We start from the raw sequence: 17,550 nt of genomic DNA, 5'->3' as shown, positions 1-17,550 counted from the left end.
TCATAGGCTGCAATCAAGGTATGCTGCAGCAATCACAAGACCCAGCTTGGGAGGGTTCTATTTCCAAGCTCATTCTGATGATTGTTGGCAGGATTCAATTCCTGTAGTTTGTTTGAGAGCCTCAGTTCCTTGCTAGCTATTGGTCTATTATAAGCAGAATCATGTAATATTCTAGCAGAAGCTGCCTCAATTCTTTGCTATGTGGGCCTTTCTATAGGGTGATATGGCAGCTCGCTTAATCAGAGCAAGTAAGTGGAAAGAGCCAGAGAGAGAGAATGTGAGCAAGATAGATGTCACAGTCTTTCATAACCTATCTGGGAAGTAACATCCTATCACTTTTGCTGTATTCTGTTCATTAGCGGTAAGTCACTAAATACAGCCCACACTTAAGGGAAAGGATCAATAGCAGGAGATGAGGGTCATTGAGAGCCATTTTTAGAAGCAGTCAGCCAAACCTGGGTGTCTTATAGAATTCCTGGTCTTTCTTCTAGTGTTCGGTTCCTAATTGGGACAAGTCTATTCTTAGATTTATTTCAGTGTACTGAAGGACTCCACCCATTTGTCACATGATTTTTCCACTGGTAATTTAGAGTGAGATAGTGAAAATTATTTGGCTTTTATAGTTACATCTGAGGAGTGCCTAGTAGTCCTATTTAAAATTTAAACTTTCTTTTTATTATGGTAAAATATACATAAGATTTTCTTTTTAAGCATTTTTAAGTGTACAGTTCAGTGGCCTTAAGTACATTTCCATTGTTCTGAAACCATCATTACCATCTATCTGTAGGACTTTTTCATTTTTCTAAATGGAAACTCCATACCCGTTAAACACTAATTTTCAATACCTCCTCACCATGGCCCTTGGTAACCATCATTCTACTTTCTGTCTCTGAATTGATTACTCTAGATACCTATTATAAGTGGAATCATATAATATTCATCCATTTGTGCTGAATCATTTCACTTAGTGTGATGTCTTTAAGGTTTATCTGCATTTTAGCATGGGTAAGAATTCCCAGCCGGGCACGGTGGCTCATGGGCGACAGAGCCTGGGCAACAGAGCGAGACTGTCTCAAATAAAAAAAAAATTAAAAAGAATTCCCTTTCTTTCTTTCTTTCTTTTTTTTTTTTTTTTGAGAAACAGAGTGTCACTCTGTTGCCCAGGCTGGAGTGCAATGGCGCGATCTCTCTTCTCTGTAACATCCACCTTCTGGGTTCCAGCGATTCTCCTGCCTCCCAAGTAGCTGGGATTACAGGTGCATGGCACCATGCCTTGCTAATATTTGTATATTTTGTAGAGACAGTTTTGCCACGTTGCCCAGGCTGGTCTCAAACTTCTGAGCTCAAGCAATTCTCCCACCTCGGCCCTGCAAAGTGCTGGGATTACAGGCTTGAGCCACTGCGCCTGGCCCTGTTTGATTATTTGAGGAACTGCCGCACTGTTTTTCACAGTAACTGTCCCATATTATATTCCCACCAGCAATGCAGAATGGCTCTAATTTTTTCACATCCTCACCGGCACCTGCCATATTTATTTTTTATAATGGCCATATTAATGGAAGTGAACTGGTGTCTCATTGTGGTTTTTTTTTAATATACATAAGACGGAGTTTCACTCTTCTTGCCCAGGCTGGAGTGCAATGGCACAATCTCGGCTCACCGCAATCTCCGCCTCCTGGGTTCAAGAGATTCTCCTGCCTCAGCCTCCCAAGTAGCTGGGATTAGAGGCACCTGCCATCATGCCCGGCTAATTTTGTATTTTTAGTAGAGATGGGGTTTCACCATGTTGGTCAGGCTGGTCTCAAACTCCAGACCTGAGGTGATCCACCCACCTCGGCCTCCCGAAATGCTGGGATTACAGGCGTGAGCAACCGCGCCTGGCGGTGGTTGGTTTTTTTTTTTTTTGGAGATGGAGTCTCGCTCTGTTGCCCATGCTGGAGGGCAATGGCACGATCTTGGCTCACTGCAACCTCTCCCTCCTGGGTTCAGGCAGTTCTCCTGCCTCAGCCTCCCTAGTAGCTGGGACTACAGACGTGCTCTACCACGCCTGGCTAATTTTTGTATTTTTAGTAGAGATGGGGTTTCACCATGTTGGCCAGGATGGTCTCGAACTCCTGACCTCAGGTGATCTGCCGGCCTCAGCCTCCCAAAGTGCTGGGATTACAAGCGTGAGCCACCGCCCCTGGCCCTCATTGTGGTTTTGATTTGCATTTCCCCTAATGATTAGTGATGTTGGGGCTATCTTTTCATGTTTATTGACCATTTGTATATCTTCTTTGGACAAGTGTCTATTCAAGTCCTTTGTTCATTTCTTCCAGGTTGTTATTTTGTTGTTGATTGAGTTTTAGGAGTTCTTTATGTACTCTAGATGTTAATCCCTTATCAGATATATGATTTGTAAATATTTTTTCCCATTTTGTGGGTTGTCTTTTCACTCTGTTGATAGTATTCTTTGATGCACAAAAGTTTTAAATTTTTTTTAATTAAATTCTTTTTTTTTTTTTTTAGAGACGAGGTCTCGCTATTTTGCCCAGCTGGACTTGAACTTCTGGGCTCAAGAGATCCTCCCACCTCAGCCTCCCAAGTAGCTGGGACTACAGGCACATGCTACTGTGCCTGGCCAAAAGTTTTTAATTTTGATGAAGTCCAAATTTATTTTTTGTTTTGTTTTGTTTTGGTATTATATCCAAGAAATTATTGTCAAATCCATTGTCTGAATACATTACCCCTATGTTTTCCTCTAATAATTTTTTTTTTTTCAAGACGGAGTCTTGCTCTGTCGCCCAGGCTGGAGTGCAATGGTGTGATCTCAGCTCACTGCAACCTCCGCCTCCCAGGGTCAAGTAATTTTCCTGCCTCAGCCTTCCGAGTAGCTGGGATTACAGGCATGCACCACCACGCCCGGCTAATTTTTTGTATTTTTAGTAGAGATGGGGTTTCACCATGTTGGCCGGGCTGGTCTTGAACTCCTGACCTCAGGTGATCCACCTGCCTCGGCCTCCCAAAGTGCTGGGATCACAGGTGTGAGCCACTGTGCCCGGCCTTCCTCTAATAATTTTATAATTTTAGCTCTTAGGTTTAGTTCCTTGCTTCATTTTGAGTATGTTTTTGTATATGGTATGAGGTAGGAGTCCATCTTTTTTCTTTTACATGTGGATATCCAGTTTCCCCAACATCATTTGTTGAAAAGACTTTCCTTTCCCCATTGAGTGATCTTGGGACTCTTGTTGAAAATCATTTGACCATGTATGGGAGAGTTAAATATTTTAGCTTTTAAAAAGTTTTCCTTCTAATTGTAAAAATACATGTTTTCTGTAGTAAATTTACAAAAGAGGAATTCCCCCATCCACCAGAAAATAACCATACTACATAGAAATAACTACTGTTTTTTTTTGGTGGGGGGATGGAGTCTGGCTCTGTTTCCCATGGAGTGCTGTGCCACGATCTCGGCTCACTGCTGCAACCTCCACCTCCCGGGTTCAAGCGATTCTCCTGACTCAGTCTCCCGAGTAGCTGGGACTATAGGCACGCACCACCATGCCCAGCTAATTTTTGTATTTTTAGTAGAGACGGGGTTTTGCTGCTGTGTTGGCCAGGCTATTCTCAAACTAGTGACCTCAAGTGATCGGCCTGTGTCAGCCTCCTAAACTCCTGGGATTAAAGGCATGAGCCACCATGCCCAGCCCTATAACTACTGTTAATAGTTGGTAAATTTCAGTTCAGGTTTTTTCTGTGCATAATTTATTTATGTGTACACATTTTTAATAGAAATGGGATCATACATATGTACTGTTTTATGTTTTTAATTTAAAACATAAAGAACTTTTCTAGGCTGGGTGCGGTGGCTCATGCCTGTAATCCCAGCACTTTGGGAGGCTGAGGCAGGCAGATCATGAGGTCAGGAGTTTTGAGACAAGCCTGACCAACATGGTGAAACCCCGTCTCGACCAAAAACACAAAAATTGGCCGGGCGTGGTGGTGGGTGCCTGTAATCCCAGCTACTCAGGAGGCTGAGGCAGGAGAATCGCTTGAACCCGGGCGGTGGAGGTGCAGTGAGCCGAGATCATGCCATTGTACTCCAGCCTGGGCAACAAGAGTGAAACTCCATCTGAAAAAAGAGAAAATAAAAGTTTTATTTATTTATTTATTTATTTATTTTTTGAGACAGAGTCTTGCTCTGTCACCCAGGCTAGAGTGCACTTTTCTTTTCTTTTTTCTTGAGATGGAGTTTCGCTCTTGTTGCCCAGGCTGGAGTGCAGTGGCGTGATCTTGGCTCACTGCAACCTCCGCCTCCTGGATTCAAGCGATTCTCCTGCCTCAGCCTCCTGAGTAGCTGGGAACTACAGGCGCCCACCAGCACACCTGGCTAATTTTTTTCTTTTTTTGTATGGAGTCTTGCTCTGTCACTAGGCTGGAGTGCAGTGGCAGATCTCAGCTCACTGCAACCTCCGCCTCCTGGGTTCAAGTGATTCCCCTGCCTCAGCCTCCCAGGTAGCTGGGATTACAGGCACGTACCACCACGCCCGGCTAATTTCTTTGTATTTTAGTAGAGACAGGGTTTAACCATGTTGGCCAAGATGGTCTCGATCTCCTGACCTCGTGATCCGCCTGCCTCGGCCTCCCAAAGTGCTGGGATTACAGGCGTGAGCCACCGTGCCCGGCCACACCTGGCTAATTTTTGTATTTTTAGTTGAGATGGGGTTTCACCATGTTGGCCAGGCTGGTCTTGAACTCCTGACCTCAAGTGATCCGCCTACCCCGGTTTCCAAAAGTCCTGGGATTACAGGTGTGAGAAACTTTTTATGTTTAAATGTTTTATAAATTGGCCAGGCACAGTGGCTCTCACCTGTAATCCCAGCACTTTGGGAGTCTGAGGCAGGCAGATCACTTGAGCTCACGAGTTCGAGACCAGCCTGGGCAATATAGTAAAACCCATCTCTACAAAAAAAAATATGAAAAAAATTAGCCAGGCAAGGTGACATGTGCCTGTGGTTGCAGCTTCTCAGGAGGCTGAGGTAGGAGGAATGCTTTAGCCCAGGAGGTGGAGTTTTCAGAGAGCTGAGATCACACCACAGCACTCCAGCCTGGGTGACAGGGCGAGACCCTCTCTCTCTCCCCTGCCAAAAAAAATTCTACAAATTGCTTTTTAAAATTAGTTTTTATTATTAGAGTTTTAACAGCACATAATTTTAAAAGTTTAATGGTTATATACAAGTTGTTATTGAAAAAGGAGTCTTCTGGCTTCTCCACTGTGTCCCATTTTCATCCTTTGGGAAGTATTCACTTTCAGTACTTTTGGTATTTACCTCCACATCTCAAACTAAGATGCTTGTGTTACTGCTGATTAATTTTTCAGTTGTAGTCATTATCTACCAGCTTTCCACTATGGAAGATGATTTAACTTTTTCACTGCCCATCTCATTCCTACTACACATGCACAGTTAGATCCTTTTATTTTTCCAATAATGTTATATCTTAATTTTGGTTAGGCCAGTAGTCAGAGTTTAGGCCAGTACTCAGAGTTTAATTTTGGTTAGGCCAGTACTTAGAGTTTAAGTTATTATGACTCTGTCAATGCTTTTTTTTTCTTTTTCTTTTTTTTTTTCTTTTTGAGACAGAGTCTCACTCTGCCGCCCAGGCTGGAGTGCAGTGGCACGATTGGCTCTCTGCAACCTCTGCCTCCCGAGTAGCTGGGACTACAGGTGCATGCTACCGTAACTGGCTATTTTTTGTATTTTCTTTAGAGACGGAGTTTTGCCATGTTGGTCCCGAACTCCTGATCTCAGGTGATCTTCCTGCCTCAGCCTCCCAAAGTGCTGGATTACAGGTATCAGCCACTGCACCTGGCCAGAAGTACAGTATTTTCTGTTTGGTCTGGTCATGGATCAGTTATGGCAAAATGAGTGGTTTAAACGACCATTATCATGACAACTTGAACCTTGATTACTCATTTGAGGAGTTGTTTGTCATCCCCTTACCCATTTACTTGAGAAGGCCGTCATAAGCAGTTAGCCTCGACATCCCTGGCTCAGCCTCCTAAGTAGCTGGGACAACAGGCACGCACCATCACACCTGGCTAATTTTTTATACTTTTTATAGATATGGAGTTTCACCAAGTTTTCCAGGCTGATTTCAAACTCTTGGGCTCAATGGATCTGCCTGCCTTGGCCTCCCAAAGTGCTAGGATTACTGCCATGAGCCGCTGCGCCTGGATGGTTATCTCTTTTTTTGAGTAGTGAAGCTGATTGGAAGTTCCGTGTGTGTGTGTGTGTGTGTGTGTGTGTGTGTGTGTGTGTGTACCACTACTGGTATAAGTTCAGTTTTCTCAGATTCATTAAATCAGTTACCTCTTGTACATCTTCTGTCCAACTTGCAAATTTTTATCATTGTCTCCTGTCTTGTATGGGTTTTCCTTGTGAATTTATTCAAAGAAAAATGCCTAAAACACATCTTATGTTCTCAATAAATACTTGTCGAATGGATGAATGTTGCTATTGTCCTTCCAAGACCAGCTAATCAATAATGGCATCCTTTCCTTTTAGCCCAGACTTTGCTTCAGGATCCTTCTCAACTTAATGTGTCAGGCTGCCCTGGAGATCAGATCTTTTTCCCACCCTGTCTAAAAGGCTAGGGAGCATGACTTACTCATCTCGTATTTCCTTCAGCTATTGTCGGGGTTCTTGTCAAATGTTTGTTTATTGAAAGAATGATTGGTAAAATTTCAGATAGTAGAGTATTAAAAAGTGTTCACTCATTCAAATATATACCATAAATCAAGGTTATTAATAGTAAAAAAAATGATTATAGATCTCTGTTACATAATCTAGCCATTCCCAAACTCTCAGGACGTCTTACTAATCTTAAAAATTATTGGTACTCTAAATATTCTTTTTCTTTAACATAGATTTATATCTATTGATAGTTACTGTATTAAAAACTAAAAGTGGCCAGGTGCAGTGGCTCACACCTGTAATCCCAGCACTTTGGGAGGCCGAGGCGGGTGAATCACGAGGTCAAGAGTTCAAGACTAGCCTGGCCAACATGGCGAAACTCTATCTCTACTAAAAATACAAAAATTAGCCAGGTGTGGTGGCAGGCGCCTGTAATCCCAGGTACCCGGGAGGCTGAGGCAGGAGAATCGCTTGAACTCGGGAGGTGGAGGTTGCAGTAAAATGAGATCGTGCCACTGTACTCCAGCCTGGGCGACAAGAGCAAGAATGTCTCAAAAAAAAAAAAATCTAAAACTGAAAAATTAAAAAAATTTTAATAATAGTAAACCTATTACATGTTAAATCTTTTAGTTTTATTTATTTATTTTATTTTTTTGGAGACAGGGTCTCACTCTATTGCCCATGCTGGAGTGCAGTGGTGTGATCATGGCTCACTGCAGCCATTGACTTCCTGGCGTCTAAGTGATCCTCTTGCCTTAGCCTCCCAGTAGCTGGGACTACAGGCACGTACCACCATGCCTGGCTAATTGTTTTTATTTTAATCTTTTGTAGAAATGGGGTCTTGCTATGTTGCTTAGGCTGTTCTTAAACTCCTGGCCTCCAGCGATAGTCCTTCCTCAGCCTCCCAAAGTGCTGGGATTACAGGTGTGAGCCACCATGCCTGCCCTAAAAGTTGTATATTTACATTTAGGTCTGTGATACATTATGAGTTACATTTTGTGTAGAGTGTGAGATTTAGACAGGGGTTCTGTTTTTTACATATGGAAATACAATTGTTTCAACATAATTTGTTGAGAAGACTATCTTTTCTGTATTATTATTATTACTATTATTATTATTGTTTTGAGACAGAGTTTTGCTCTGTCACCAGGCTGGAGTGTAATGGCACGATCTCAGCTCACTGCAACCTCTGCCTCCCGGGTTCAAGCAATTCTCCTGCCTCAGCCTCCCGAGTAGCTGGGATTACAGGCATGTGCCACCATACCCAGCTAATTTTGTATTTTTAGTAGAGACAGGGTTTCTCCATGTTGGTCAGGGTGGTCTCGAACTCCTCACCTCAGGTTATCCACTTGAGGCCTCGGCCTCCCAAAGTGTTGGGATTACAGATGTGAGCCACCACACCCGGCCTGTCTTTTCTGTGTTGAATTGCCTTTGCATCTTTGTCAAATATCATTTGGCCCAGAATAGGCAAATCCATACAGACAGAAAGATTTAGTGATTTCCAGGGGCTGAGAGAAGAAGGGAATGGGGAGTGACTGCTAATGGGTATGGGGTTTTGTTTTGGGATGGTGAAAATGTTCTGGGATTAGATAGTGGTAATGGAATCTTTTTGATGGCCAGGTGTGGTGGCTCACACCTGTAATCCCAGCACTTTCGGAGGCTGAGGTGGGCAGATCACAAGGTCAGGAGATCGAGGCCATCCTGTCTAACACGGTGAAACCCCGTCTCTACTAAAAATACAAAAAATTAGCTGGGCGTGGTGGCAGGCGCCTGTAATCCCAGCTACTTGGGAGGCTGAGGCAGGAGAATGGCGTGAACCCGGGAGGCGGAACTTGCAGTGAGCTGAGATCCTGCCACTGCACTCCAGTCTGGGTGACAGAGCGAGACTCCATCTCAAAAAAAAAAAAAAAATCTTTTTGATGTATACATTCTATTTTTTTTCTTTCTAACTTTTATTTTAGGTCCAAGGGGTACATGTGTAGATTTGTTCCATGGGTAAATATGTGTCTTAGTGGTTTGGTGTACAGATTATTTTGTCACCCAGGTAATACACATAGTATCCAATAGGTAGTTTGTTGATCCTGACCCACTTCCTACCCTGTACCCTCAATGGACTGTTTTTCTGTTTCATGTGTTTATATTTCTGTCCTTTTGCAGATAGCTCACTGATCTGATTACTGTAGCTTTATACAGTAAGACTTAAAATCATGTAGTGTGTTTCCTCCAACTTTATTTTTTAATAAAGATTTTGGGTAATTTTTGCTTATCCACATAGATTTTAGAGTCAGCTTATTTATATGAAACATTCTGCTTAGATTTCAATTGGAATTGTGTTAAAACTGACAGTTTGTGTGAACTTTGTTTTTTTAGATGCCTTTTATTAGGTTTAGAAAATTCTCTTCTATTCCTAGTTTGCTGAGAGTTTTATACCATGAATGAATATTGAATTTTGTCAAATGCTTCTCCTGTATCAAATGATAGGTCATGTGGTTTTCATTTTTAGACTATTAATCTGCTGTACTGCATGAATTGATTTTTGAATATTGAGTCAGCCTTGCATCCCCAGGATAAACCATACCGGATTGTGGTGTATTATTCGTTTTATGTATTGCTGGATTCAGTTTGCTACTACTTTATGAGGAATTTTCATGTTTGTGTTTATAAGGGATATGGGTCTCTTATTTTTTGTTTTCTTTTTGAGACAGGTCTCACTCTGCTGCCCAGCCTGGAGTGCAGTGATGGTATCTTGGCTTACTGCAACCTTGACTTTCCTGGGCTCAGGTGATCTTCCCACTTTAGCCTCCTGAGTAGCTGAGGCTACAGGTGTGCATCACCATGTCCAGCTAATTTTTAGTATTTTTTGTAGAGATAGGGTTTCACCATGTTGCCTAGGCTGGTCTCAAACTCCTGGGCTCAAGAAATCCACCCGCCTTCGCCTCCCACAGTACTAAGATTACAAACATGAGCCACAATGCCCATCCTTTGACTAGTTTTAATATCAAGTTAATGCTGGACTCATAAAATGAGATGGGAAGTGTTTTTTCCTCTTCTTTTTTGGAGAGATTGTATAAAATTTGTTTCATTTTTTCTTTAAATGTTTAGTAGAATTTGCCATTGGAAAAAAAATCTAGGCCTGTATTAGTCCATTCTCACACTGCTAATAAAGACTTACCTGAGACTGGGTAATTTGTAAAGAAAAAGAGGTTTAATGGACTCATAGTTCCATATGACTGGGGAAGCCTCACAATCATAGTGAAAGGCAAAGGAGGAACAAAGGCACATCTTACATGGCAGCAGGCAAGAGAGCGTGTGCAGGGGAACTGCCTTTTATAAAACCATCAGATCTCATGAGACTCACTCACCATCATGAGAACAGCATCATGGCAGTAACTGCCCTCATGATTCAGTTACCTCCCACTAGATCCCTCCCATGACATGTGGGGGATTATGGGAACTACAAGATGAGATTTGGGTAGGGACACAGCCAAACCATATCATGCCCATATTTTTTTAGTAGGACTATTAAGGAGGTCCCTTTCACCTTGGGTGAATTGTGGTAGTTTGTAGTTTTTGATGGTTGTCTGTGTTCACTTTCTGTGTATAATGTTGTTCATTATGTTTCCTAATTATATATTTATGTCTGTGGAGTCTATAGTGATAACCCCTGTTTCATTCCTAATATTGATTATTTGTGAGTTCTTTTTTCCCAGATTTCCTAAAAGGTTATAAATTGTATTGATCTTTATAAAGAGCTGGCTTTTGGTCTCATTGATTTTTTTTTTTCTATGACGTTTCTGGTTTTAATTTCATTGTTATTATTTTGTCTTTTGTTTCCTCTGCTTGTTTTGGGTTTAGTTTGTTTGTCTTTTCCCCCTAGGTGGAAGCTTATAGTTTTAATTTGAAACTTCCGTGCTTATTTTCAATTTAAAAATTATTTTAATATTATATATATATTTTAAGAGACAGCATCTCTGTCACCTAGGCTGGAGTGCAATGGAGTGATCATACCTCATTGGAGCCTCAACCTTCTGTGCTTAAATTATCCTCCCGCCTCAGCCTCTTGAGTAGCTAGGACTACAGGCACCCACCACATGCAGTTAAGTTTTTTAAAAAAATTTTTGTAGTAACAGGGTCTTGATAGGTTGCCCAGGCTGGTCTTGAACTCCTGGCCTCAAGTCCTCCTGCCTTGGCCTCCCAAAGTGTTGGGATTATAGGCCTAAGTCACTGCACCTGGCCTCATTTTTCATATAAGCTTTCAGTGCTATAGTTTTTCCTCTAACCATTGCTTTAGCTGCATATCATATGTTTTATTTTCCTTTTTGTTCAATTCAAATATTTTCTAATTTGCCTGGGGACTTTGTCTTTAACCATGGCTTATTTGGAACAGGCATTGGCAAACATTTTGGTTTTTTTTCTTTCTTTCTTTTTTTTTTTTTTTTTGAGACAGAGTCTTGCTCTGTCACCCAGGCTGGAATGCAGTGGCATGATCTTGGCTGACTGCATACTCCGCCTCCCGGGTTCCAGAGATTTCTCCTGCCTCAGCCTCCCAGGTAGCTGGGATTGCAGGCACACACCACCACACCTGGCTAATTTTTGTATTTTTAGTAGAGACAGGGTTTTACCATGTTGACCAGGCTGGTCTTGAACTCCTGACCTCAGGTGATCCGCCTGCCTCAGCTTCCCAAAGTGCTGAAATTACAGGCGTGAGCCACCGTGCCCGGCTTTTTTTTTTTTTTTTTTTTTTTTGAGACAGGGTCTTGCTCTGTCATCCAGGCTAGAGTGCAGTCTTACAATCACAGCTCACTGCAGCCTCAACTTCCTGGCTCAAGAGATCCTCCCACCTCAGCCTTCTGAGTAGCTGGGACCACAGATGAGTGCCACACACCTGGCTAATTTTTATATTTTTTGTGGAGACAGTGTCTTGCCATGTTGCTTAGGTTGGTCTTGAACCCCTGAGCTCAATCAATCCACCTGCCTCGGCCTCCCAAAATGCTGGGACTACAGGTGTGAGCCCCCGTGCCCAGCCAAACATTTTATTAAAGGTCCAAATAATAAATATGTTAGGCCTAAGTGTAATACCGTCTGTGTTGCAGTTATTTAACTCTGCTCTAGTAGTATAAAATCAGCCATACACAACATATAAATGAATGAGCATGGCTTAGTTCCAATAAAGTGTTATTTATATAAAAATCAGGCACCTTGCCCTGTTGTTATAGTTTAATTTCCAAGTGTTTGTATTCTTGTTATCTTGCCGTTATTGATTTCTAGCTTAATAACATTAAGCTAGAATATACTAGCTTGTTATCAGAGAGCATAGTATGTATGATTTCCGTTCTTTTAAATTTGCAAAATTTGTTTTGTGACCTGGGATATTATATAGTCTTTTGGTGTACGTTCCTTGTGAGTTTGAATGTGTATTCCACTTTTGTTGGGTGGAGTGTTCTGTAAATGTCAGTTCCAGTTGTTTGATGGTTGTTTTTGATTAAGTTCACTGACATCATCTGGGTGTCCTATAATTCGCTTTAATTCTGTCACTAATTGCGTCAAGTTAATGCAGACCTCACAGGTTACAGGGCTCAGTCCCACAAAGCTGCCTTCACTTCAGACTGGAGCCACAAGCCACTCAAATTTTCCCTGGTTGAGTATAAGTTTGGGCCTTCCCACAATCCCCTTGGGTTTAATAATTTGCTTAGAATGACTCACAGAGTTCATGAAAGTGCTATACTTAAAATTACCTTTTTATTATAAAGGATACAAATGAACAATCAGATGAAGAGGACTATATGATAAGTTTGTAAGGCTCCCAAGCACGGGAGCTTCTCTACTTGTGGAGCCAGGGTACACCACCCTCTTGGTACATCAGTATGTTCACCAACCAGGAAGCTCCCTGAGCCTTGTAGTTCAGAGTTTGTTTTTTTTTTTCTTTTTTATCCAGCTGAATTTAAGATTTACAGAGTTTTTAATATACAGAGTTCAGGGCTGGGCACAGTGGCTCATGCCTGTAATCCCAGCACTTTAGGAGACTGAGGTGGGAGGATCGATTGAGTCTAGGAGTTCAAGACCAGCTTGGGCAACATACCCAGACTCTGTCTCTACAAAAAAGTAAAATGAGCTGGGTGTGGTGGCACATGCATGTAGTCTAGCTACTTGGGAAGCTGAGATGGGAGTACTGCTTGAGCCCAGGAGTTTGAGGCTGCAATGAGCTATGTTTGCACCACTGCACTCCAGCCGGGGCGACAGTGAGACCCCATCTCTTAAAAAAAAAAAAAAAAAAAAAAGTCGGGCATGGTGGCTCACGCCTGTAATCCCAGCACTTTGGGAGGCCGAGGTGGGTGGATCACCTGAGGTCAGGAGTTCAAGACCAGCCTGGCCAAACATGGTAAAACCCCCCGTCTCTACCAGAAATACAAAAAAATTAGCCGGGCGTGGTGGTGCACACCTGTAATCCCAGCTACTCACAAGGCTGAGGCAGGAGAATCGCTTGAACCCTGGAGGCAGAGGTTGCAGTGAGCCAAGATTGCGCCAGTGCACTCCATCCTGGGCAAAAGGAGTGAGACTCCATCTCAAAAAACAAACAAAAAGAGCTTATTACGTAGGCATGGTTGATTAAATCATTGGCCATGTGATTGAACTCAATCACTAGTAACTCTTTTCCTGGAAGTTGGGAGGTGGAGATGAAGGTTCTAGTCATGTAGTCATATGCTTTCAGGTGACAGCCCCCATCCTGAAGCTTGGAGTCACTTCATTAGCATAACAAAGGCATTCATATCACTTAGGAAATTCCAAGCACTGCCAGGAATTTGGAAATGAATACCAATCCTCTGACACAAAAATGTAAGATAGGAAAAAATAAACTGTTCTTACTACTATACTGAATACTTCTGGCAAATGACAGAGAAGTGCAATTTGCTAGAATGGCTCTCAGAACTCAGGAAAACACTTCATTTATGCTTACTGGTTTATTATCTAATAAGGATATAAATGAGGATACAGGTGAAGAGATACATAGGGCAAAGTCTGGAAGGATCCTCAGAGCAGGAGTTTCTTTCCTCATGAAGTTAGGATACACTACCCTCACAACATATGGATATGCTTATTGTCTCATGTCCATATGAAGAGGCCACCAAACAGGTTTGTGTGAGCAACAAGGCTGTTTATTTCACCTGGGTGCAGGTAGGCTGAGTCCGAAAAGAGAGTCAGCAAGGGTTGTGGGATTATCATTAGTTCTTACAGGTTTTGGGATAGGTGGTGGAGTTAGGAGCAATGTTTTGCAGGCAGGGGGTGGATCTCACAAAGTACATTCTCAAGGGTGGGGAGAATTACAAAGAACCTTCTTAAGGGTGGGGGAGAAACAAATCACAATGGTGGAATGTCATCATCTAAGGCAATTTTCACTTCTTTTGTGGATCTTCAGTTGCTTCAGGCCATCTGGATATATACGTGCAGGTCACAGGAGATATGGTGGCATAGCTTGGGCTCAGAGGCCTGACATTCCTGTCTTCTTATATTAATAAGAAAAATACAACAAAATAGTGAAGTGTTGGAGTGGCGAAAAATTTTGGGGGTGGTATGGAGAGATAATGGGCAATGTTTCTCAGGGCTGCTTTAAGTGGGATTGGGGTGGCGTGGGAACCTAGAGTGGGAGAGATTAAGTTGAAGGAAGATATTGGGGTAAGGAGTGATATTGTGGGGTTGTTAGAAGGAGCATTTGTCGTGTAGAATGATTGGTGATGGCTTGGATGCGGTTTTGTATCAATTGAGAAACTAAACGGAAGATACAAGGTCTGAATAAAAGAAGGAGAAAAATAGATATTAAAGGACTAAGAATTGGGAGGACCCAAGACATCCACTTAGAGACTGCCCAAGGGGGTTTAGCGTAATTACTTGCTTGGTTGGCGAGTTTTTGGGAAAAGACCATTAGTCCGTTTTACCTTTCCTGAAGATTGAGGACGGTAAGGGGTATGAAGATTCCACTGAATACCAAGAGCCTGAGAAACTGCTTGGGTGATTTGACTAATAAAGGCCGGTTTGTTATTGGACTGTATAGAGGTGGGAAGGCCAAACTGAGGAATTATGTCCAACAGAAGGGAAGAAATGACCACGGTGGCCTTCTCAGATCCTGTGGGAAAGGCCTCTATCCATCCAGTTAAAGTATCTACCCAGACCAAGAGGTATTTTAGTTTCCTGACTCAAGACATGTGAGTAAGGTCAATTTGCCAGTCCTGGGCAGGGGCAAATCCCTGAGCTTGATGTGTAGGGAAGGGAGGGGGCCTGAATAATTCCTGAGGAGTAGTAGAATAGCAGATGGAACACTGAGAAGTGATTTCCTTGAGGATAGATTTCCATGATGGAAAGGAAATGAGAGGTTCTAAGAGGTGGGCTAGTGGCTTATAACCTACATGGAAGAGATTATGAAATGAAGACAGAATAGAATGGGCCTGTGAGGCTGGAAAGAGATATTGTCCTTGGTCCAAGGACCATTTGTCTTGTGTGAGAAGAGATTGATAGGTGGAAACTTCAGTAGGAGAGTAAATAGGAGTGACCAATGAGAAGGAGAAAAACTGGCCATGAGGGACAGAAGTTGGAATGCTAGCTGCTTCTTTAGCTACCTTATCAGCATAAGTGTTGCCCTGAGCGATGGGATCTGATGCCTTTTGATGGCCGTTGCAGTGAATGACTCCAGCTTCCTTTGGAAGTAAAGAGGCCTTGAGAAGAGTTTCTATTAAAGAGACATCAATGATGGAGGACCCTTGTGTAGTGAGGAAACTTTTCAGCCCATAACAGCATGGTGGTGCAGGATATGGGGTCAGTATAAATATTGATGCATAGTCCCTTTGCAAGAGTGAGGGCCCGAGTTAAGGCAATGAGTTCGGCTTGCTGAGAGGTAGTGGAGGGGGCAGAGCAGTAGCCTCAATGATAGATATGGAAGCTACTATAGCATAGCCTGCCTTTGCTTGTGAGTGGCGATTAGGCTTGGTTGGACTGCCATCGATAAACCAAGTGTGTTCTGGGTGAGGAACAGGAAAGAAGGAAATATGGGGAAATGGAGTGAATGTCAGGTGTATCAGAGAGATACAGTCACGGGGGTCAGGTGTGGTATCAGGAATAATGTGGGAGGATGGATTGAAGTCCGGGCCAGGAATAATGGTAATTGTGGGAGACTCAACGAAGTGTGAGTATAGCTGAAGGAGCTGGGGAGCAGAAAGTATATGTGTCAGGTGGGAGGAAGAAAATAGATTTTGGAAGTTATGAGAACTGTAGAGAGTGAGCTGAGCATAGTTTGTGATTTTGAGGGCCTCTAAAAGTATTAAAGCAGTGGTGGTCACTGCACGCAGAGATGAGGGGTAGGCTAAAACAGTAAGGTCAAGTTGTTTGGACAGAAAGGCTACAGGGTGCAGTCCCGGCTCTTGTGTAAGAATTCTGACCGCACTAACCATGCCTAGGAAGGAAAGGAGTTGTTATTTCATAGAAGGGATTGGGGTTTGGGAGATTAGCTGGACACGATCAGCGGGAGAGCACGTGTGTTTTCATGAGAATTATGCCGAGGTAGGTAACAGATGAGGAAGAAATTTGGGCTTGACTGAAGTAATGGAGGCTGTCTGTGAAGCTTTGCGGCAGTACAGCCCAGGTAATTTGCTGAGCCTGATGGGTGTCAGGGTCAGTCTAAGTGAAAGTGAAGAGAGACTGTGATGAAGGGTGCAAAGGAATAGTGAAAAAAAAGCATGTTTGAGATCTAGAACAGAATAATGGGTTGTGGAGGGAGGTATTTAGGATAGGAGAGTGTATGGGTTTGGCACCACAGGGTGGATAGGCAAAACAATTTGGTTGATAAGGCGCAGATCCTGGACTAACCTGTAAGACTGGTCCAGTTTTTGGACAGGTAAAATGGGGGAATTATAAAGAGAGTTTATAGGCTTTAAAAGGCCATGCTGTAACAGGCAAGTGATAACAGGCTTTAATCCTTTTAAAGTGTGCTGTGGGATGGGATATTGGCGTTGAGCGGGGTAAGGGTGATTAGGTTTTAATGGGATGGCAAGGGGTGCATCATTTATTGCCAAGGAGGGAGTAGAGGTATCCTATACTTGTGGATTAAGGTGGGGAGATACAAGGAGAGGATGTGAAGGAGTCTTTGAACTGGGGAAAAAGGCAGCAATGAGGTGTGGCTATAGCCCGGGAATAGTCAGGGAAGCAGATAATTTAGTTAAAATGTCTTGACCTAATAAGGGAGCTGGGCAGGTGGGGATGACCAAAAAGGAGTGCATTAAAGAATGTTTTCCAAGTTGGCCCCAGTGTTGGGGAGTATAAAGAGGTTTAGAAGGCTGGCTGTCAATACCCACAACACTTATGAAGGCAAGGGAAACAGGCCCTTGAAAAGAAGGTAATGTGGAGTGGGTAGCGTCCGTATTGATTAAGAAGGGGACGGACTTACCCTCCATTGTAAGAGTTACCCAAAGCATCTGAGGCTTCCAAGGAGATTGGGCAGTGTGTCTTCAGCTGCTAAGCCAAGAAGATCTGGGAAGGAGTAAGTCAGAGCCTTGGGCCAGTTGGACAGTCCAATTTCCAGTGGCGTCCCTCACAGATGGGACACGACTTAAGAGGAATCCCAGGCTGTGGGCATTCCTTGGCCTAGTGGCCAGATTTCCGGCACTTGAAGCAAGATCCTGGGGGAGGAAGTCCTGAAGGAACGCCTGACCGCTGTGGCTTAGGCGTTTTGAAGTTTTTGTGTGCTGGAGATATGGCTGGGGTTTTCTCTCACAGCAGAGTCAAGTAGTTGCAACTCTTCTCTATTACTGTACACCTTGAAGGTGAGGTTAATTAGGTCCTGTTGTGGGGTTTGAGGGCCGGAATCTAATTTTTGGAGTTTTTCTAATGTCGGGAG

At 43.0% G+C, this 17,550-nt stretch overlaps 1 protein-coding gene across 6 annotated transcripts in view, besides 1 other annotated feature; it reads left to right on the top strand.

Moving 5' to 3' along the window:
* TTBK2 (tau tubulin kinase 2) overlaps window positions 1-17,550 on the top strand; it is a 182,271-nt gene that overhangs the window by 16,879 nt on the left and 147,842 nt on the right. Inside the window, exon 1 of one of the 6 annotated variants that reach the window (XM_047432191.1) lies at window positions 5,810-5,827. The exons of the other annotated variants lie outside the window; for them this stretch is intronic. The gene's annotated coding sequence lies outside the window, so the exon portion shown is untranslated. Of the gene's footprint in view, window positions 1-5,809; window positions 5,828-17,550 lie in introns of those variants that run through there. 6 annotated transcript variants of the gene reach the window in all.
* Window positions 13,769-14,641: an enhancer, noted in NCBI's record as "H3K27ac hESC enhancer chr15:43181679-43182551 (GRCh37/hg19 assembly coordinates)". NCBI's record gives its function as "activates a minimal SCP1, AML or CMV promoter by ChIP-STARR-seq in naive H9 embryonic stem cells {active_cell/tissue: H9 hESC(naive)}" and the evidence as "EXISTENCE:reporter gene assay evidence [ECO:0000049][PMID:30033119]".

Source organism: Homo sapiens, chromosome 15, assembly GCF_000001405.40.
Source record: "Homo sapiens chromosome 15, GRCh38.p14 Primary Assembly".
In the NCBI taxonomy this organism is placed as follows: Eukaryota; Metazoa; Chordata; class Mammalia; order Primates; family Hominidae; genus Homo; species Homo sapiens.
This window is presented reverse-complemented; position numbering and strand designations above follow the sequence as displayed.